The 21,273-nt window shown below is 55.0% G+C and overlaps 1 protein-coding gene across 3 annotated transcripts in view, besides 9 other annotated features; it reads right to left on the bottom strand.

Moving 5' to 3' along the window:
- Positions 1-21,273, bottom strand: part of LMX1B (LIM homeobox transcription factor 1 beta) — an 87,105-nt gene that overhangs the window by 17,846 nt on the left and 47,986 nt on the right. The window lies entirely within an intron of this gene.
- Positions 5,660-6,188: an enhancer, noted in NCBI's record as "OCT4-NANOG-H3K4me1 hESC enhancer chr9:129439278-129439806 (GRCh37/hg19 assembly coordinates)". NCBI's record gives its function as "activates a minimal SCP1, AML or CMV promoter by ChIP-STARR-seq in naive and primed H9 embryonic stem cells {active_cell/tissue: H9 hESC(naive and primed)}" and the evidence as "EXISTENCE:reporter gene assay evidence [ECO:0000049][PMID:30033119]".
- Positions 6,189-6,717: an enhancer, noted in NCBI's record as "OCT4-NANOG-H3K4me1 hESC enhancer chr9:129438749-129439277 (GRCh37/hg19 assembly coordinates)". NCBI's record gives its function as "activates a minimal SCP1, AML or CMV promoter by ChIP-STARR-seq in naive and primed H9 embryonic stem cells {active_cell/tissue: H9 hESC(naive and primed)}" and the evidence as "EXISTENCE:reporter gene assay evidence [ECO:0000049][PMID:30033119]".
- Positions 8,097-8,752: an enhancer, noted in NCBI's record as "H3K4me1 hESC enhancer chr9:129436714-129437369 (GRCh37/hg19 assembly coordinates)". NCBI's record gives its function as "activates a minimal SCP1, AML or CMV promoter by ChIP-STARR-seq in naive H9 embryonic stem cells {active_cell/tissue: H9 hESC(naive)}" and the evidence as "EXISTENCE:reporter gene assay evidence [ECO:0000049][PMID:30033119]".
- Positions 16,746-17,585: an enhancer, noted in NCBI's record as "H3K27ac-H3K4me1 hESC enhancer chr9:129427881-129428720 (GRCh37/hg19 assembly coordinates)". NCBI's record gives its function as "activates a minimal SCP1, AML or CMV promoter by ChIP-STARR-seq in primed H9 embryonic stem cells {active_cell/tissue: H9 hESC(primed)}" and the evidence as "EXISTENCE:reporter gene assay evidence [ECO:0000049][PMID:30033119]".
- Positions 16,746-17,757: a biological region, named in NCBI's record as "Sharpr-MPRA regulatory region 8141".
- Positions 17,463-17,757: a silencer, noted in NCBI's record as "tiled region #8141; K562 Repressive non-DNase unmatched - State 20:ReprD". NCBI's record gives its function as "represses a minimal TATA promoter and a strong SV40 promoter by Sharpr-MPRA in K562 cells {active_cell/tissue: K562}" and the evidence as "EXISTENCE:reporter gene assay evidence [ECO:0000049][PMID:27701403]".
- Positions 18,461-18,975: an enhancer, noted in NCBI's record as "H3K4me1 hESC enhancer chr9:129426491-129427005 (GRCh37/hg19 assembly coordinates)". NCBI's record gives its function as "activates a minimal SCP1, AML or CMV promoter by ChIP-STARR-seq in naive H9 embryonic stem cells {active_cell/tissue: H9 hESC(naive)}" and the evidence as "EXISTENCE:reporter gene assay evidence [ECO:0000049][PMID:30033119]".
- Positions 18,976-19,492: an enhancer, noted in NCBI's record as "H3K4me1 hESC enhancer chr9:129425974-129426490 (GRCh37/hg19 assembly coordinates)". NCBI's record gives its function as "activates a minimal SCP1, AML or CMV promoter by ChIP-STARR-seq in naive H9 embryonic stem cells {active_cell/tissue: H9 hESC(naive)}" and the evidence as "EXISTENCE:reporter gene assay evidence [ECO:0000049][PMID:30033119]".
- Positions 19,963-20,576: an enhancer, noted in NCBI's record as "H3K4me1 hESC enhancer chr9:129424890-129425503 (GRCh37/hg19 assembly coordinates)". NCBI's record gives its function as "activates a minimal SCP1, AML or CMV promoter by ChIP-STARR-seq in naive H9 embryonic stem cells {active_cell/tissue: H9 hESC(naive)}" and the evidence as "EXISTENCE:reporter gene assay evidence [ECO:0000049][PMID:30033119]".

Here is a 21,273-nt window from a genome sequence, read left to right as displayed (position 1 = left end):
TCCCCCGGCCTCCTCGCCGCGTCGGGGCCGGGCCTGCAGCGAGGGCTGCCCCTGCGCTTCCTGCGGCCCGCAGCTGTGCGGGGCCGCCGGCCCCTCGGCCCTTTGATCCGCGCCAGGGGCGCTGTCGGGAGCCCCCAGCCGGGGCTGGAGGTCACGGGCCAGGGACAGGGAGGGACGGGCACAGCCGGGAGCCCGGGGAGCCATCCCAGGCCAGCCTGGCCAGGGAGGCCCACATGCACATTTGGCGATTCCACAAATATTTCTTTCTTTCTTTTTTTTTTTTTTTTTTTTTCAGACAGAGTGCCTCTCTGTCACCCAGGCTGGAGTGCAGTGGCGTGATCTCAGCTCATTGCAACCTCCGCCTCCTGGGTTCAAGCGATTCTCCTACCTTACCCTCCCGAGTAGCTGGGACTACAGGCAGGCGCCACCGCGCCCGGCTAATATTTGTATTTTTAGTAGAGATGGGGTTTCACCATGTTAGCCAGGCTGGTCTCGATCTCCTGACCTCGTGATCCCCCCACCTAGGGCTCTCAAAGCGTTGGGATTACAGGCGTGAGCCACCGCACACGGCCCCACAAATATTTCTTTAGCGTCTACTATGTGCGGGCCGGCGCTGTCTGGAGGCGGGGCTAGAGCAGTGAGAAGAGAGACAGCCCCTCCCAATGCCCCCACCCCCAGTTCCTTCTTACCCGTGGAGGACATTCTCATAGGCGGAAGGACAGTAACACTGATCTATTTTAACACGTAGATAAATCCATTTCATACAGAGTATGACGAATGGTGACTACAAGGCAAAGAAGAGTGAAGACAGGGAAGAGAGATGGGGCTGCAGCTTTAGAAGGGACAGTCAGAGGCATGAATGAGACACACATTCCAGCCGACACCTGGGGGATGGTATCTACAATATCGGGGGAAGTGGCTCCTTGCAGAGGGAGGAGCCAGTGCAAAGGCCCTGGGGAGGCTGGGCTCTGTGGCTGACCCCTGTAATCCCAGCATTTTGGAAGGCCGAGGCTTGTAGATTGCTTGAGCCCAGGAGTTTGAGATCAGCCTGGGCAAAATGGCCAAAGCCCATCTCTATAAAAAAAAAAAAAAAAAAAAAAAAAGACCCTGGGGACCAAGTATCTGCAAGTATCTGGGGTGTGGCTGGAGCAGATGAGTGATGGGGACAAGGTGCAGGTAGAGCTGGGGGGCAAAGGGGACAGATCACATGAGATAGGGACCCTGGGAAGGGTGGGGGGGTGTGATCTGATTGGCATTTTATTTTATTATTATTATTTTTTTTTTTTGAGATGGAGTCTCACTCTGTCGCCCAGGCTGGAGTGCAGTGGCGTGATCTTGGCTCACTGCAACCTCTGCCTCCCGGGTTCAAGCAATTCTCCTGCCTCAGCCTCCCAAGTAGCTGGGATTACAGGCATCCGCCACCACACTCGGCTAATTTTTGTATTTTCAGTACAGATGGGGTTTCACTATGTTGGCCAGGCTGGTCACGAACTCCTAACCTCAAATTATCCACCCACCTCAGCCTCCCAAAGTGTTGGAATTACAGGTGTGAGCCACTGTGTCCGCCTCTGATTGGCATTTTAACCAGGTTCCTTAGGCACCTGTAGGGGGGGCACCGGGTTAGAGGGAGGAGCAGGGAGTGGCTTTGGGAAGTTAGCACAGTGAAGGTGTTGGCTCAGAGCCAGGAGGGCAGGGGAAGCCTTGTGAAGGCAGACAGGGCCTGAGAGGACGTGGGAGAAAGGACGGCATCAGGGATGAGTCCCAGATCTCCTGGCTGAGCATCCGGAATGATGGAGTTGCCACTAGAGGACATGGCGTCTGTGGGGAGGCAGGGGAAGAACAGGGAGTGCAGCCCTGGATGTGTTAGGTCTGAGCTGCCTTCTAGGCAGCCATGTGGACAGATAGGTCCAGGGTCAGCTGCTTGTGTGAGGTTGGAGTTCAGGGAGAGGCACAGACTGGAGATGCTGTGTGGAGATGCTGCCAGGATGGAGACACACCCAGAGATACAATCACACAGATACACTTACACAGACACACTGCTACAGGGTGAGCAGCCGTGTCCATGTGGCTTGGCATCTGACAACTGGTTTCCCACCTTTGGGGCTCTGACTTCCGATGGGTGGTGGGGATATTGAGGCTTCTGTGGGGACCAGACCTTCCCTGGTGACAGGCAGGAGCCCTCCTGCCATTGTCGAGACAGGTCAGGTGCAGGTAGGAGGTGGAGCATCACATCCCTCTGACCATCCTTCCCTGCATCGTTTCTGGCTGAACTTGGGACTCTAGTCCAGGCTAGAAGAGCCACAGGAAATCCTGGACCAACCGGGCATCAGGGAGGCTGCGAGCTATGATGTGCCAGGCACTGTGCGAAGGGCTTTACCTGTACTATTTCATGACCTTTGAGTTCACCCTCTTCCCCCTTCTTTCTGCCCCTTCACTAGTGAATTCAATACATTTGATGATTTGGTGATTCACCCATTCATCTAACGTTTACCCGGCACCTACCATGAGCCAGGCCCTCTCCTGGTCTGCAGTAGGAACCTCCTCCTCCCACCTGCTCATCAAACTGAGCTAGTCCCAGGTACCTTTTTGAGCTAGTCCCAGGTACCTTCCCCCATTCTCACTGAGGTCAGCAGCTCCTGGTTGCCAAATCCAACATTCATTATTATCATTATTATTGCTTACTAAGATGTATTGACTGTTGCCCACATAGCAAGCTCTGGGCTTTATTTGCCCATGGACTCCTCCTCTGTAAGACCCCTGCGAGGTAGGCAACATCACTCTCTTTGCTAGAGAGGAAAGTGCTGCTTGCAGAGGGTACACAGCTGCTTAGTGTCTGAGCTGGGGTTTGAGCCTGGCACACTGGGCCTCCCAGCTCCTGCTCATCCTCCCAGTCTCTGTGCTTGGTTTCCTGGACCTCCCTGTTCTTGAAGCCCTTTCCTGCTTTAACCTCATCTGCCCTGGCCACCTCCCAAAACAACTCTGCACTTGCTTCATCAGCACGGAGCTGCTGGGCCTCTGGCCTGGGCTGGGGGCACCAGGGTTATGGGGGGATGATGGCGCCCACAGTCCAGAGGGCTGACAACGCACGTGGAAGGTGAGAAACCCCGGGCCACGGGAGGCAGAGGCCTTTGGATTTCTCTCCGGGGCCCTGCATGGCCAGAATAGGCCAGGCCCAGAGCCAGGTGCCCAGTAAGGGGTGGGGGCTCCACGGCAGTCTGAAGACATTCAAACTTAGCCGGGTGGAGGGCAGAGTGGTGGGGCAGGAAGGACTTTCTGGAGACTTCAAAGAGTTCAGAGGATTCCAATGGGGGAAGTGTTGGGGCTGGGATGGGAATGTGTGTGTCTGAGGCCAGAGTCAGGCTCTGTGTAGAGGTGGAAAAGCAGAGAGCCCATTCTGGGAGGGAGAAGTTGAAAAACCACAATGGCATGAAGGGAATGGAGGCCATTTTCAGGGTTAGGAAGATAGTGGGTCAGGTTGGAGACAGTGGTCAGGTTGGAGTGTGGGCGAGAAAGAAAGGTCAGGCTGGACACCTTGTGTGTTGTGCTAAGGAGGATAGGTCGTACCTCTCTTTTTCTCATAAAATCATCCATTTATCCACCCATCCATCCATGCATCCATCCACCCATACATCCACTCATCTGCCCATCTGCCTACCCATCTATCCACCTGTCCCCCATCCACCCACCCCTTCAACCATCTATCCACCCATACAAACATCCACGCATGCATGCATCTATCCTTCCACTTACCCATCCATCCACCACCCATATATTACCCATCCCCCCTCCATCCACCCTCTCAACCAGCTACCCATACAAACATCCATGCCTCCATCCAGCTCACAAATACTTAGCTACATCCACCCTCTCCACCAGCTATCCATACAAACATCCATGCCTCCATCCGTCCAACAAATACTTAGCTACTTGTTCTGTGCCAAACGCCATGTAGTGACTCAGTTCCTCCTGAAAGGGCTGAAACTTTCACTATATGATTTGTCTATTCTGTAGGCACTAGCAAGCCACCATGACTAAGCTCTGTGCTAGGTGATGGGGAATCAGCAGGGTCACAGTCTTCAGGGGGCTCCTGGTAGAATGGGAGAGCAGGTATTCCATGCGAGCGGAGTGTCAGATCTCCAGGGTACCACTAGGGTGTCCAAGTGGCTGACCCAGCTGATATTTTGACCCCACCATTATGACTTTAAGGATTTTGGACTGCTGCACATAGACCATAGCATTTTAATTAGGGCTGTAACAACACTAATAAACTTTCTTTGAGCAAGTGTTTTCTGGAACAAACTCCATTAAAGCATTTTTTTAAATCAATTTTCTTTCTAGTAGAGTCAAATAATTTTCTACTTTCCCCATTATTTCCCTAAAATTATTCTCATTGAGATAATTATTTTTCATGAAAAATTTTCTATAAAGCTTTCCTCTAGCATCAGGTTTTTGCCTGTATTGGATCCTGCTGATGGACTCTTTGGTTAATTTGTGGCCAGTGACACATCTTACTGTGGTCGTGTCACCGTTGTCAGTTATATTTTGTATGGATTATTTTACCAAGCTAAATTTTCCCCAGGATCAGGATGGGTGGTTTTCAATGTTAACAAAATTACCAAAGTTTATTACTACAAATTTTACCAGGCAGGTGATAAAAACATGCTCAGGGTAAAAAGCATGGGGTTGAGACAGATTTGGGGGTGTCATATGTTGTGTTCAAATGCCCAGCTTCAGCTGGGGCCCCACAGACTAAGTGAGCTCCTTCTTGCCCTTCAGGCACTCAAAGACAGTGACACCTCCCTTTCTTGGTTAGGCTCCTGTGGCAGCTTCTCCGCAGTCTTTTTGTTTTTTTTTTTTGTTTTTTGTTTTTTTTTTTTGAGACGAAGTCTCGCTCTGTCGCCCAGGCTGGGGTGCAATGGCATGATCTTGGCTCACTGCAAGCTCCACCTCCCGGATTCAAGCGATTCTCCTGTCTTAGCCTCCCGAGTAGCTGGGATTACAGGCGCGGGCCACCACCCAGCTAATTTTTTGTATTTTAAGTAGAGATGGGGTTTCACCATGTTGGCCAGGCTGGTCTCAAACTCCCAACCTCAAGTGATCTACCTGCCTTGGCATCCCAAAGTGCTGGGATTACAGGCGTGAGCCACCATGCCCAGCAGTTTCTCCACATTCTAATCACCCTCTGAATGAGCCTGAGTCTGTCCATATAAGACCTTGAGGCATGGTAGCTCTCTCCTCCAGAGGGAGGACCAACCATCTCCTCCCTTATTTCCCATCCTATGCTCCTCTTAATGCAGCCAGAGATAGCACCAACTTTGTTAGCCCAGTCATGGAGGGCCTTACTACCCAGTCTCTTTCCTGAGATCTGGACTAAGCTTCCTCCTCCCCGCAATGCCCTGAGTACATGCCCTGTGCTCCTGCTCGAATGTTTGAACGCAGGCTGTGAATGAAGCTGGCAGACGCTCCTACTAGACGTTACACTCACGGGAACCAGTTCAGCCCTGTGCTCAGAGCTTCACACTCAGGGGCCTCACTGATGCCTCATGACCACTACCGGAGGTAGGAGTCTCTTCCTTACACAGGTCACCCGGCTGGTGAAATGCAGAGCTGGGGCCCCAGGTCAGCTGGGCTGGTAACCACCACACTCTCCTGCCTTCCTGGAGGTTGGAAAGGTAGTTGGGGACTGGGAAGCAAATGACCCAGAGATTTGGGAGCCTGATACCTGCTTCTAGCCAGTGACCTGTTGTGCCGGGCTTTTTGTGGAGACATAGCAGTAGTGGGTGGGCAAGATGAGTCCCCTGGCTGAGTCATCTACAGAGGCCTGAGAGAATATCTTGAGAAGGGGGTGCCAGAGAGGAGCAGGACTCCATGCTGAGCCCAGGGGAGCTCGGAGAGGAGGGGGCAGGAGCAGGAATTAAAAGGAGGTATATGAAAGTGTGGGTGCCACTCATTTCCTGCCAGAGATGGGGACCCTCTCCCAGGGATGGAGAAGAGAATCTGGGGGACCACATCCCTGGGTCTCCTGCGCTCTGGCTGGGGACGGGCAAAGGGCAGGCGAGGCAGGTCAGGGCTCGGCCTTCGGGACAGGCAGGGCACGCAGCCCGCCCATTTAGTGGGTAACTGATCGCCCCATGCCCCGCCCCAGCCGCCCGCTGCCTGCCTGAGCCGCTTAATCACCGCCCGCCCGGCCGCATTAGCATAGTAATGGCCTTTAAATTGAGCCTCTTTGTTTTTTAATTAAGCTCCCAGCAGGTACAGAGAAGAGCGATTATTGAGGAAGCTGCCAGTGCTAATCGCCCGCAGTCATTTGACAATTAAAAAGCGCCTAGCTTTAACCCTTTCCCCTCGCCCGCAGCAGTTCTCCCAGCATTTACCCAGCGCCAACTGTGCGCAAGTCCTCCCTATGGGGATCTGCGGACCCCACCCCTGGTAACTCCGAAAGGTCTGAAAGGTCTCTGCCAACACCCCCATTTTGCTGATGAGCAAACTGAGGCTCAGAGAGGGGAGGTAACTTGTTCAATACACCCAGTTTGGTCATGGAAGAACTGGGGTAGCAGACAGGTTGCTAGAGAAAGCCAGCCACCTGGTCTCTGTACCTTGTCCATGCTCTACTTGGAATACTGTCCCGCTGTGAGTCTGGCAAAATGCTTCTCATCCTTCAAAGGCCAGGTGGGCACGTCCCAAGCCCCATGGCATGGAGTTCCCAGGGTATCCTCCTCTTCCTGCCACTTCATCCATTCCCCCAAATACTGATGCGGTGCTTATTGTGTGCCAGGTGCGGTGCTGGGTGCTGGGGACAGCAGCGAACAAGCCACTGGGAGACAGCCCATCCTGGGGACTGTGGTGGGGAGCAAGTCAGAGAAGGCCACTTTTCGGAAGACAGAGATTTGGGCTGAGACGGGGAGAGGAGGGCGATCAGCCAGGCAAGGATGGGAGGTGACGGAGAGGCCAGGCAGGAGAGAAACACTGTGTGCAAAGGTCCTGAGAAACAAGGAGAATCAATGAGAAATAAAAGGTGCAGAGGGTTGCGAGGGAAGGGCGGGTGCCTGGAGCAAGAGGAAGCTGGGGAGTACAGGAGCCTGCCTGAGTGTGCAGGGTCTTACACACTGTCTACTGAACATTTTTTTTTTTTTTTTTTGAGACGGAGTCTCGCTCTGTCGCCCAGGCTGGAGTGCAGTGGCGCGATCTCGGCTCACTGCAAGCTCCGCCTCCCGGGTTCACGCCATTCTCCTGCCTCAGCCTCCCGAGTAGCTGGGACTACAGGTGCCCGCTACCACGCCCGGCTAATTTTTTGTATTTTTAGTAGAGACGGGGTTTCACCGTGTTAGCCAGGATGGTCTCGATCTCCTGACCTCGTGATCCGCCCGCCTCGGCCTCCCAAAGTGCTGGGATTACAGGCGTGAGCCACCGCGCCCGGCCTACTGAACATTTTTTATCTTTTTTTTTTTTTTAATTTTTTTTTTGAGATGGAGTCTTGCTCTGTCGCCAGGCTGGAGTGCAGTGGCACAATCCCGGCTCACCGCAACCTCTGCCTCCCGGGTTCAAGCAATTCTCCTGCCTCAGCCTCCTGAGTAGCTGGGATTACAGGCGTGTGCCACTACGCCCAGCTAATTTTTGTACTTTTAATAGAGACGGGGTTTCACCATGTTGGCCAGGATGGTCTTGATCTCTTGACCTTGTGATCCGCCCGCCTCGGCCTCCCAAAGTGCTGGGATTACAGGCGTGAGCCACCGCACCCGGCCAACATTTTTTATCTTAAAAATTATTGAATTTGTTTTTGAAGAGGTAATGCATTCCATAATTTAATACTGAAATGTTCAAATACAAAAGGGCGTTCTCTGCATCCTCCTCTACCCCATGCCTAGCCATCGGTCCCCTCCCCAGAGGCAATCCAGGTCTTTCATTTGACCCTCCTCCAGAGACGTATCACACATACACAAGCCCACATACACCAAGCCGAGTGCATCTGTCATTCCCCTCCCGGCCTGGTTTTGGGTGTATTTTGGGGGGGTTTTGTTTTGTTTTGGTAATGAGGACTGATTGGGATTTTTTTCCACTTTCTTTTTTATACAAACGCTAATATGCTCTACAACCGCCACCCCCACCCCATGACTGGAGATGACTCTACGTTGGAACAACAGCACCTGATTTTACAGCTGCCTGATCCTCTATTACAGGGCAAACCCTAACTTATTTAACCCATGCCCTGTTGACGGTCTTGTGGGCCATTTAAAGGATTTTTGTCTTAATCTCAAGAGCCACGGGGAAGTCATTGAAAGGTTTTAAGTAGGGAGTGGCTTGAGTGATTTACATTTTTTAAAGATCATTTGTGGGGAGACTCGCTAAGAGGGTCCAGGCTGGTGCCCTGCAGGTGAGAGGCACAGCGGGTCCTGGCTGGGATCCTGGAGTGGGAGAGGGGGTGGGTTACCAGAGAGCCATGTAGGGAGTTCCTGAAGTGGACAGGGGCTTTGGGGTTGAATGGGAAACCTGGAGTGGCTCCCTCGGCCCTGTCAGGTGCCTGGTGGACGTGGATGGGGGAGCCCTGCCTGAGATGGGAGCACAGGGTGGCAGATGGGGGACCACGTGGAGATGCCAGGCAGGCAGTCACCTGGCTCACTGCACTGACTGCCAGCACAGCATCCGTTCATCTTTGGGTCAGGGATCTCCCCACACCAGGCTCTCTGATGACCAAGAGGAGACAGATGGAGCTTAGCTGCCCCACAGGTGGCCCCAGGCCCCATCTCTGCCTGTTCACACTTAGCAGGGGCCTGTTGCTGGTGTTCCTGAATGCCCCCCCAGCCTCCTCCACCCCACCCTACAAGTGGAGCAGGCGTTCCTGAAGAAGAGCAGCCCTGAGAAAGCCTGGCAGTAACTTTTTAATAAAGGAAGAGGAGCTTCCACAGGGCATGGTGTTGGGGTGAGGAGGGCTCCAGACACTCACTCAGAGACATATTCTGCCCCTAGTCACCACTGGGGAAGACCCCCTTCTCCTCTGTCCTTGGCTCCCTGGTGCGGGGAGGAGCAAGCTCTTGATGCCCTGGAGCCCTCCTCACTCTGTCCCTGACTCAGAACTAGAGGTTTCCCCCCTAGAGAGGAGCTGGGGGCACAGCCAGGACCACCTTCTGGCTACCTTCTACCCCATGGATGAGGCAGGAAGCACATAGCAGTGCAGGCAACGAGGGGTTAACAGTCCGCCCATCCCCATCTATCAGCCAGCATCTCCCAAACAGACGGACAGACAAGGCAGCTGTCCAAACAGGCCTGTGTACCTGGCCACGGCCGCAGAGAGGACAGGGCAGCGGCTGTTTACTCTGCTGCTGCCACAGGCGCACACTCACACACACACTGGCAGGCCATTTCCATCCAATCTCCCCGTGGGGATGCGCCCTCCACCCCGGCCCCTCCCACCACCCCTGCACAAGCAGATTCCTAAATGCTCATCTCCCAGACAGGGGCTGGGAGTCTCCAGGAGTCAGGGAGGAGGTGAGGCGCCCAGGAAGCACAGTGCTGGCCCCTAGCCATGCCCCCGATGCCCCCTCTCTGCCCAGAGTGGAGGTGGAGTGTCTCAGAGCCCGGGGACCTGGTGAAGCTGGGTGCCTGGGGAACCACCCCCTCAAAAACCCCGTGGCCTCATGTTTGGCCCCAAATCTGTGTTCCCTTGTCCATCTCCACCTCCCTGATGGTGCCAAAAGCTACCTTCTGCCCTACCTGAGGGAGCCCTGGGTTAGCCTCTTTCTACACTGGTCCCTGAGCTTGACCCCACTGGCCTCCTGTGCGGCTCTCAGATCTGCCCAGCTCCCTGGTGCGGAGTTGTTTGTGGGGCCTGGTGTGTCAGACGCCCAGGAAGTCCAGCCAGCAGCACGCAGAGCCCTCCCTACCCTCTGTGGGTGGCTCCCCATTCACTCTGACAGGTCCCCTCAATGCCCTTTCCCTAGGTAGGGGCTCCCTGTGGTGTCTGGGGCTCCCCCAGACCCCAGCATGGATACCTGCTGTGAGCCAGGCTCTGGCCCGAGCTTCTGGAGTTCTCATCTCCTCTCGACCCTGGAAGGCAAGGAGAATGAGTCTTCCCATTTCTCAGATGAGAAAACTGAGCCTTGTGCCAAGCCTCACAGCTACAAAGTGCCAGAGCCCCCAGTAAGAGATAGGTCAGCATGTGGTTGGGCAAAAGCCGAAAAGAGCCTCTTGCTTTGTGTGGGCGAGGAGTCCACAGGTGGGCGGCGAGAGGCGCACCGTTCTGACCAAGTCCTGTGCCAGTGTCATGTGCCTGGGCACGTCACTGGCCTCACTTCTGGCATCACTGGGGCCAGCAAGCGATAAAAGCCAACGCTTCCGCTTACCAGTGCCTCTGGGAGGGAAGCTCCTGCCAGGCTCCGCTGGCCAGGACATGGTGCAGCCAGGATTCTGTCCTGGGCTGTGTGCGCCCCCCTCCCTAAGGCCAGGCCCTGGACTGTTCCTCAGCCCCCCGCACCCCATGTGACATCTTTACGGCACATGCTGGGTCTGAGAAGGCCTGAATGGGGCGAGAGGGAGGCAGGACATCCCTCAAGTAACGGATTGTAAATTCCTGGGCCCCGGCTTTCCATCCCTAACAACCCCCTTCCAGGCTCACAGTGCCTGTCCCTTCGCAGCCAATTTAAATGAGGGGTCCCAGACCCAGGGCGTAAAGCATTCCAGACTCGGGAGAGGGGCAACTATTGTTTCTCTGGGAAAAAAAATAAAATAAAATAAAATAAACTGAGTCTCTGCAGCTTCTAATCACTCTCACATGTGCTGCACAGGTCCCGCCAAGGACAGCTCTCTACAGTGTGTGAGCCCCGCATGGGCACAAACCCTGCTTCACCTAGAGCCTGTGAGGGAGGCCCCTGATCTCCATTATTCCGTGGGAGAAACTAAGGCAGGGGGAGCTACCAGACACTGGCTCTCATTCAGTCCCTCTAATAACTGTAACTCATGATCCCATTCCACAGAGGGTACTACTGAGTGCCTTGCTCAAGGTCACCAGCCAGTACTGGGCCAGCCAGGATGGCCTCCAGCAGACAGGCCCAAGGGATTTGAACCCGGTCCTTCCAACTCCAGAGCTGGAGACCTTCACCCCTTGTGGTGTGGCCTCCCTATGTGAGAAGCATCCACTGACCCCTTGGAAGGAGCCCGGCCCCAGCAGCCCTGCCCCAGGCAGGTCCCATCACGGCCACAGCTGGGGCTCGGGAGCATCAAGGCTGGTTTTTAATAAGGAAGATGAATTTACTTGGAAGCCCCAGTCCAGGAGAAGGGGGTGGTGGAGAATGCCGACCTCTATTCCCTCTCTGCCCCTCTGGAGGGAGGGGAGTGGAGGCCTGGCCAAGTGGCCTCTGGGCCGCTGGGGGCCTGGGCTGTGGGGGGCCGCTGCCCTGGCCTGGAGGGAGCTGGCTCGCTCACTCTCCCCGAGTAAGCCCACAGGATATTACACTGCCTTTGTGTGCCTGGTGACCCAGCTGCTGGTTATTGAAAAATTCCACCGCTCGGCACAGGGCAGGCCCGCTGACCTCTCATCCCGGGGTGCGCCTATCTTTCAAAAGATACAGGATTAGAGAGCCAGAGCCGGCCTGGAGCAGTGCCCCGTCTGGGGTGTCTGTGTTTTTGCGGCCTCTCGGGATACCGGCTGGAGTGGGCTCTTGGCGCAGGATTTAATTAGTTGGAATCAGCCTGCGATTACTGCGGCGACTATTTACCCAGCCACTCTGCAGTCTGAGCTCTGCTCGGAACAAAGATGGGCCCCTCGGCCCTGGCTGGCCAGGCCAGGGGCCCCAGCTGAGCCCGGGCCCAGCTGCTGGGAGGGGAGGGCTGTGGGCCTGGCGGGCCTTCTGCTGGCGCACCTCATTTAGCTGATATTTGTGGGTTTTCACAATGCAAAGCATCTACGTGGGGCTTTTAAAAAATTAAAGCATCTCAAGAAATTTATGACCGATTTCCGAGCGGGGTCCCCTCCCCCCAGCTCAGAGCTCGGCGGTGGCGAAGCAGAGCTGGGTTTACTGGGGTGGGATTGAATTCCTGCCAACGGCTGGTGAGCTGGGCATGGGGCTGTGCCTGGGTGCCAAACTCTGGAGAGTATGGGAGGTGTCCCAGCTGATAGTTCTCTTGCCCCCTTCTCTGCCACCTGGCATGGCCCCTGGCTGTGTATCTGTCCTGCACTCCCCTCCAGACAACCACAGTGGTGGCAGCTAGCGTGGGAGGTCTGTGTGTGCTGGGCTCCCAATCCTCATGCCTACCCACAGCTATACCCACACCCATGATAATTCACCTGTGACACGCACAGTAAGTCTTCACTTACCCTTGTGGATGGGTTCTTGGGAACTGCGACTTTAAGAGAAACGCCATATAATGAAATAAACTTTTTTCGTCCGTGTTACATGGAAACGTTATTTGAGGACCTGCTGTCTGTGGTTTCGCTTAATGTCACAGTTTCCAAGAACCTATCCAAGAGGGTGAGGGAGGACTGACTGTACTGCCACCCACAGCACCCAGGTACCACATATGTGTGCATACCTGTATTGCATGTGCCAACAGTCTAGGCCCTCACCCGTGTCCACTCACACATGCCTGTCAATACATATGTGTATGTTGACAATGTGTGCATACGTGTACTCAAGCGTGTCAACCTACTCACACCTACCTGTCCATCTGCATCTGCCCAACCCTGCTGTTTACACATGCCCACACATGCCAGCACAATATGCCGGCAAATCTGAGCGCGTCTGCACCCATATGCACACATACTGGCCACATACACTCACATGCATGCTCATACGCACCAAGGATGCGTACGTACACAACTCTATCTACAGGCTGCTCTCTGAGTGTGCTCACACATTTACATGCACGCACAACTGCTGATGCATTTGTACATGCACATGCACACGTGTCCACCCGTGGGGAGGTCTGCCGCCTCTACTCATGTATGCACATGTCTGGCCATGGGAGGCAGCTGTGGGGGCTGTTTCAGGGCTCTGCCCCTTGGAGGGGGTCACTCAGACCCAGCATCAGGTGACTGCTCTGGGGGCCCAGCTGGTATATTCTGGGAGATTGAGGCACACGCCGGGACTCTCTTGGGAACTGGGATTTGGGTTAGGGCCCTCCCAGTGCCAGGTTTCTGGAAAAGTTGCCAGGAAGGGGGTCTCCTCGCTGTCTGTTGGGTGACCTCACCCCTAGTTGTCCACCAATCCTCCACCCAGGAGCCCTGCCCTCAGCCTCCTCGGAAGGCTTCATTTCTCTCCTACCCCCTCCACTTCTAACCATGGCCACTGTGGTTCCTGTCCTGCCTCATGGCCTGGGGAGTACCTGGGGGCCATCCTGGGGGAAGGGCAGAGGAGCGGACTGCCCAGATCCTGAGGAACTTTGGGCTCTGATGACCTCCTTTTCTGCCCTGCCCTAGAGACAACTGACCCAAGCCCTCATCCCATGGACACATACCTTAACACATGTGCACACATGAGGTGACCAGAATGGCACCTACTTGCACAGAGAAACATACTGCCATATACAGACGTACACACAGGCACCTGGGGTCACACACAGTGTGCACAGACATACCCAGAGGAGCACAAAAGCCCAGGTATACACTCACACACGTGAATGTGAGAGGCTGGACAAACAAGACGCGTCAAAACGAAGACCCCCCAGGCCCACACGGATGCCCAAGCAGGCTGCAGGTGCCCAGGGACACACCCAGACACACGTGAACACACACACATGCGCTCATACAAATACACAATGCAGACCCGAAGGAAACTTTTCTCAGAAGTCCAGGGAGGCCCAGGCAGAGAGGGCAGTGACCCACCCACAGTCTGAGACTGGTTAGTGGCGAGGCCAGGGCTCCCGACTCACAGATTGGCCCCTCCCTCTCCCCAGGCCTCATCCGCCGGGAGTTCTCATATCTACAGGAGCCCTCATCCCTGTCTCCACCCTCCTCGCGGCCAGGCCTTGTTTCAGCCTCACCATCCAGGCAGTCCATGCCCTCTCAGGTGCACCCTCGCCGCATGGAATGCCCTTCCACCTTCCTGCCCATGCCAGCTACAATCTTCCTCTCGTCCCCTCGTCCTCCGCCCTCGGGGTCCAGGACTGCTCAGGGCTCAAGCTGCCAGAGAGCCCCTTGGCAGGGTTGGACCCCAGGCCTGCTGCTGCTTCCGTGTCCATTTCTAAAGAGCAAACGAGTCTGGCCATGACTCAGTTTCCTCACCCAGTCAAGCATTCTTGAAGGCGTAACAAAGGGCAAGTGCGGCATGCTTTTCCCAACTGTGGATACAAAGAGCCAGGTTCCAGAAGGCCCCTCTCCCTGCCTGTCTATCATCCCCTGCCAAGCACCACCCAGGAGGGCCTGGGGGATGTGGGGTTAGGGGGACAAGAGGTGAGTGGGGCCTCTTTGGGGTCTGAAAGATGTGGATTTAAATTCTGCTTCTGGGCCAGGCACGGTGGCTCATGCCTGTAATCCTAGCACTTTGGGAGGCTGAGGTGGGTGGATCACCTGAGGTCAGGAGTTGGAGAACAGCCCGGCCAACATGGTGAAACCCTGTCTCTACTAAAAATACAAAAATTAGCTGGGTGTGGTGGTGCACGCCTGTAATCCCAGCTACTCAGGAGGCTGAGGCAGGAGAATTGCTTGAACTCAGAAGACAGAGGTTTCAGTGAGCTGAGATGGTGCCACTGCACTACAGCCTGGGCGACAGAGCGAGACTCCATCTCAAAATAATAATAATAATAATAATAATAAATCCTGCTTCTGTATTTGTAAAGCTAAAGTCTTAGCTTTGTGACCTTGGGCCCATGACTCCACCTCCAGAGCCTCAATTTCCTTGTCTATAAAATGGGAGGTTATGATCTGCCTCTGCAGCGTTCTGGTGAAGGTGTGATGAGACAGTAAGCGCTGAGTGGCCAGGACTGTGCTCAGGAAGTGACACAGCCTGACTCAGCCACCCTTTCCAACCAGAGGGATCTTTCCCTGCAATGCTGAGGTCTCTGCAGACCCCTGGTCTCAGTAAGAGTGTCTGTCCCTGAGCCCCAAACACCAAAGTACTTCCCCAGCAGCTCTTCTTCTGCCCTCCGTTTCCTAACCTGCCAGGACACTCAGCTCCTTTCAGTCCCTCAACCTGCCCCCCTCTCACCTTCCCTGGCCAGCCCTGCTCTGTCCACACCCAGTGGGACCACATCATCACCTGCACTTTCTTCCTCAATCAACCTGCTTTCAGCTGCCTCCGCTTTCCCTAAGCTACCACTCAGCTGAAAACAAACAACACCTTCCAGACCCGAGTGTCTCGTTCATTGATTGATTGATTTAACTGGCCCTTGCTTACTGAGCAGCTACTGTGGGCAGGCACTGTGCCAGGGGCTGGACAACTAAGCACACACTGCCCTCTGCCACTGGCCACCTTTGGCCATCCCTTTCTTCTGGAAACTCTCTGAAGGCACACGGTCTTGGTCTCTCCCCAGAGACCTGTGGGTTCCTAGTTCTCCACCTGCTCTTAAATGCCAGGACTCTCAGGGTTTTTGTTCTCTTATGGCTTTGAGTGTCACTTAATGTCAAAAGCTCTCAAACCACCACCTCCAGATCTATAGCACCGGCCCCTCCCTCAAGCTCCCAGCCTCTCTGGGGATCCAGACCCCTTTACTGGCCTGCTTCCTGGGCTGCTCTGTGGATGCCCCCAAGGCAGCACCGCCCAGTGTGTTTATACTCCAGCTCCCGTCACGCGGCACATGCGCACAAAGATATATGTACCAGGATGCTCACTGATGTATGGTGTGTGTGACAGCAAAGCACTGGCAGCTGCCCAAAGGGCTGTCAGTAGGGAAATGGGTTCATAAATCAAAGTTCACCCATTCCCTGGACTGTTACGTCGTGGCTGCAAGATACAGCAAATCTGCGTGTACTGATGTGCGCAGGTGTTCTCAGCGTGTTGCTAAGTGGGACAAGCCAGTACAGAGCAGAGCAGTTAGAGGAAATATGGATCCCATCAAAAGGAAAACCAAGTGGATGTGCACAGAACATGCTCCTATGTTGTAGGAAAGGCCTGGAACGTTACGCATCTGTCAACTGACCGCCTCTGGGAAAGGGGTGAGGGAACGGATGAATACTGTCCCATTTTGTTTGACTTCTGCTTTGCCTGAATTTATTTTACAATGAGCAACAACGATTTTGTAATATAAAAAATAAAAAATCTATAAGAAATACAGAGAACAAAAGAGACCGATTTGTCATTTCGCCCTAAGCTCAGTTCCCTCTGACCAGCTCTTCTGGAAATGACTGTTCTCCCAGGGCTGAGAGAGAAGAAACCTCGAACCCTTCGCCCAGGCCTCTTCCTCTCCCATTCTTCCCACGCCGCCCCTCTGCAGGCCCTCATCCCTGTATACCTGCCCTGCCCAGGCCTCCTTGTCCCCTCTGCTGTCTCCTGTCTCTTTCAGAATGAAAATCAAACTGCATCACGGCCTGCTCAGAAGTCTTCAGAGTCTCTCCACTTACACGCAACAGGACAGGGCAGCCCTGACTACCCAGTGTGTTATCAGCGTACAGCACATAGAACATGCGTACGTAAAGCACGTACGTAAAGCACATAGAATGGCGCCAGTGAGGTTATTATTAGCATTGCTATTAACAACCTGTTTTTCTCACTTCCCTTCTTCCTTTTGCCCTCAATTTCCTTTCTTTGCCCTCACTTACTTTTCCACCCTCTTTCTCCCTTCCTGCTTCCCTTTCCTCTTTCCAGAAATGGATCTGCAGCTCCAGCCACACCAGGGCAGGCTCTCCCTAATCCCATCAGCCTCTGTCACCTGGCTCAGCTGCTCTGGACTCTGAGGTCCGTGGCCTCAACTCCGTGCCTTGGCTCTCCCTGTCCCCTCTCCTGGGCCTGCCCCCTGCCCCTCCAGGGCTGTCAGCTGAATGCTTTTCATCCTTCCAGGCTGGATTCGATGGGCACTTCCTTCAGGGAGCCTGCCTGCTCCCAGCATCTTCCAGTGGGCTGCCCCCCAGGAGGTGGTGAGCAGAGCACCAGAGCTGCGTTCAGACCCGTCTGTGCCTCTCAGCAAATCTCTCAAACCTCAGTTTTCCCATCTGTAAAATAGGCCGGCCATAGAAGCTGCCTGGTAGGTTGTTCTGAGGGTTACTGAGGCGCAGGGCAGACCGCCTCGGCACAGCGCCTAGCTCGGGAACCTCTGCGTAGGAGCTGTGATGAGAGGCCTCCTCCTCCGATCTTTGTTCACCAGCACATCTCAGCCTCTCCGCACATGCTGCCTGCTGGGTTCTGGTCAGCGTTTGCATTCACCCTGGAGACAATGGTGTAGCCCTCGGGGAGGGCCCACGCTGGCCTTGTTGGGGCTGTGAGGAGGTCTCCATGCAGAGGGACACAGCTGAGCTGCCCCGGGCTGGCATGGGCTGGCCCCACCGAGGTAGCGGGCTACCCGGGGGGTTGGTAGGGGGCAGCTGGTGCCTACTCTGTTCAAAGGCCAGCGATTCTCCACGGCTGGTGAAGCGGGTGGAAGGCTGTCCTGTGAACCCCTCCTTCCAAAGACACACCACCCAGGGGAAGGAGTGGTCCAGATCAGAGACAGGGCAACCCCGCCCCTGCAGCCCAGCAGAAGGAACACCGGAGGCGCTTTTGTTTCTCTGGTAAGAGGAGCCTCCCGCCTCCTCCAGACTCACCCTCCCAGAGCAGCCCCGCTGGCCGGTGGCCGCCAAGCTCCAAACTGGGCGAGCCTTTTCTCCAACACTCAGTAAATACTCAATACTGCATTAAAGCAATAAATAGTCATTTTAAGGAAACCGAGACTCAATTTAGCCACCAGAGTCAGGAGCAGCGGTTAGCAGGGCTGCGGAATGTCACTGCACAGCTGGCAGCCCCGCCCCCGCCGCCCCAGCCCTGGCTCCAGGGGGAGGCCCAACAATGGCCGTGCCAGGCTGCACCGCCCCTCCCCCCAAATCAGGTTACGATGGACCGTGGAGGAGGGGGACCGGCTCAGCCAGCAGCTAGCTCCAGGGAGCTGGAGGAAGCCAGAGAGGCGCGAAGGCATGGAGGAACACCCCACCTCCACCTGGGGATAATAATAATAAAACTAACAAGAACAGCAGCATTGGCAGGAAGAAGACAAGCAATTCCTGAATGGACACTTGCCCAACGCAAGCACAGCGCTAAGGACGGTACAGGCATCCCTGTGTTTAATGCTTCAGCCTCTCCAATGAGAGAGATACCTTCATCCCAACTTCGTAGGTAGAGAAACTGAGGCTCAGGAAGCTGAATTACTTTGGTCAAGGTCAGGAAATACTTGCACAACGTGTGCATTTATTTATTTTTTTCCAGACGGAGTCTCTCTGTTGCCCAGGCTGGACTGCGATGGCGTGATCTTGGCTCACTGCAACCTCCGCCTCCCAGGTTCAAGCGATTCTCCTGCCTCAGCCTCCTAAGTAGGTGGGATTACAGGCGCGCACCACCACACCCAGCTAATTTTTGTATTTTTTAGTATCGACGGGGTTTCACCATGTTGGTCAGGCTGGTCTTGCACTCCTGACCTGGTGATCTGCCCACCTCAGCCTCCCAAAGTGCTGGGATTACAAGCGTGAGCCACCGCGCCCAGCCAACTTGTGCATTTATTAAGTACCTAGTACGGGCCATGCGCTATCTCTGTGACATGTTCCCATTCTACAGACAAGGGAAGTGAGACTCCCAGCAGGGAAGGGACTTGGAGGTGACACCTCTTGGCTCCTTGCCCACAGGGCCCCTTGGCCTGGTTCAAGGGGAAGGGGTATAACTGCCTCCCCCCCATCCCTGGGGCTGTCTGTTTGGGTGGGGGATTGGGCTGGGCTGCGCTGCGGGGGTAACTTGGGGGGCCTGGTCCTGTGACTTGGTCTCCAAGTTATGCAGGCGAAACAAACAAGGTTCCTCTGTGCAGGGCTGGGGGATTTGTGCTCACCACCATGGAAACGACACAGAGCGTTGGGGGAGGGGAGTATGGCGCGGCTCCCCTTTACAGATGTGAGACCCCCCCGACAGCCTCAGACCTGGGGCCAGCTGTGGGTGGCCTGGAGGTGGCTGGAGGCAGACGAGGGCTGGCTGGACAGGCATCCTCCACCTGGTATCCCCTGGGCTGGGGTTGGGAGACAAGAGCCTGGCACAGGACTCAGACTTGGGCTCCGTGGGTGCAGCTGGCGTGGGAGGGCAGAGGAGCCCTGGCAGTCAAGATGTGCCAAAAATACCAGGCAGAGATAAGAGCAGCAACTTCTACCCACCTGGCTAAAAATAGCCCCATACTGGGAGGCAGAGAGGCCCCCGGGATTCCCCAAAGACAGCCTGGCCTGCTGCCCCGCCCCATGGGTGGCCTGGTCTGGGATGAGCCCATTTCCCAAGCAGGGCAACCAAGGCCAAGGAGAGGGCAAGGGCCAAGCACATCGTCTTGGGAAAAGCATTCTCAAGTACCGTGTGTTGACTATGTGCCAGACACTGCCTGGCAAGCGATCCACAAGCTTGGTATCAACCAAAACAAATTGAAATGGTGATAACAATGGAGGCAGGCATTAATGTTTACTGCATAGTCATTAGGCGCCAGGCACTACTCCAAACATCGTATGTGTTTATCTCATTTTAGAGACAAGGGTTACTATTATCCGCATTTTATAAATGAGAAAACTGAGGCTCAAAGAGGTCAAATTCCTTGCCAAGGTCACACAACTGTGGAAGTGGCAGAGCTGGGATTTGAACCCAAGTCCCTCTGCTCTCAAAATTCTTTTTTTTTTCTTTTTTTTTTTTTTTGAGAAAGAGTCTTGCCTTGTCGCCTAGGTTGGAGTGCAGTGGTGTGTTCTCGGCTCACTGCAACCTCTGCCTCCCGGGTTAAGTGATTCTCCTGCCTCAGCCTCCTGAGTAGCTGGGACTACAGGCATGCATCATGCCTGGCTAATTCTTTGTATTTTTAGTAGAGATGGGGTTTCACCATGTTGGTCAGGCTGGTCTCGAACTCCTGACCTCAAGTGATCCGCCCGCCTCAACCTCCCAAAGTGCTGTGATTACAGGTGTGAGCCACTGCACCAGCCTCAAAATTCTTAAGCCTTAGGTTGTTCAGCTGAGGTCAACAAGGCTCAGAGAGGGACATTCGCTTGCCCTGGGTTGCACAGCAATAGAGCCAGGACTGGAACCCAGAGTTTTCTGACTCCCAGGTCCAAGCTCCTCTCCAGATCCCAAGTGAGCCACCACTGCCAACGCCACCCTCCTTGCCAGCAGTGTGTTTGGATTGTGTTTGTCTGTCTTCCTGACGGGTAGTCCTGCCTCTGCCCCAGTCTCCTCTGTCTGTCAGGTCCCATTTGAGCTGAGGGCACCAGGCTCCCTATATGTCCCCGGTGGCACAGCCCCACCTGGAGGAAGCTTAGGCCAGAGCCTGGGGCTGCCCTGTCTAGACACTTCTTGAATCCCGGCAGCGGTGGCCGCTCTCGTGGGCCTGGCCTGGCTGAGCCCAGCAACAATGGGCCCTCTGTGCCCAGCTTGGGGCCTGCTCCAACAGGCCGCCCACCGGCTCCCAGCCCAGCCCACACTTCCACCCATACCTCTCTGGGCCCCTGTGCCCACCCTGGGAGCAGGCCTCCTTCCTCCCGAGGGCAGGGCGTGGGAGCCTCCCATGGCTAGACCAGGGAACTGGTTCTGCAGAATTCTCAGGGCTGCTCTCCCAGACTGGGCTGGGAGCCAGGAGGTCTCCAGGGGCAGGAACCAGTCCCTGCCACTACCCTCAAGCAAACAGATCCTGGTCCCACTTTACAGCCGAGGAAATTGAGGCTCAAAGGGAATTCCCTGACAAGGATCACTGGGAACTATACACAGATGAATGTCTCCTGAGAAGGTATAGTAATGATAATCATTATTATTATTAAACCACCAGGTACTGAGCAGTCACTTGCCCCAGGCTCATGCTAAGCACCACACAGGGGCCACTACTCTTAATCAGCACAGCCTCCCAGTACAAGGCACCATATTAACCCCATTTGTACAGACGAGAAACCTGAAGCCCAGAGAGGTAAAGACACTTGCATAAGGACACACAGCGGGCAAACAGCAAAGCAGGGACTGGTAGCAGCAGCCCTGTGTCTGTCTGACTCCAGCTTTCTTTATTCTGCAGGGCGCTGCGTGGGGGAGGGGTGCAGGGGGCTCGGCTGCCCCGCAGGTGTCCCATGCCTAGTGGGCCTAGCATGGGAGAAAGGCCCCTTCCTGCTGCAGTTCCGCCTCCACAATCCCTGCATTGTTGATTCATTAGGTAATTTCCCTGGAAGCACCAGCT

The sequence above is a fragment of the Homo sapiens genome, chromosome 9 (assembly GCF_000001405.40).
Source record: "Homo sapiens chromosome 9, GRCh38.p14 Primary Assembly".
In the NCBI taxonomy this organism is placed as follows: Eukaryota; Metazoa; Chordata; class Mammalia; order Primates; family Hominidae; genus Homo; species Homo sapiens.
This window is presented reverse-complemented; position numbering and strand designations above follow the sequence as displayed.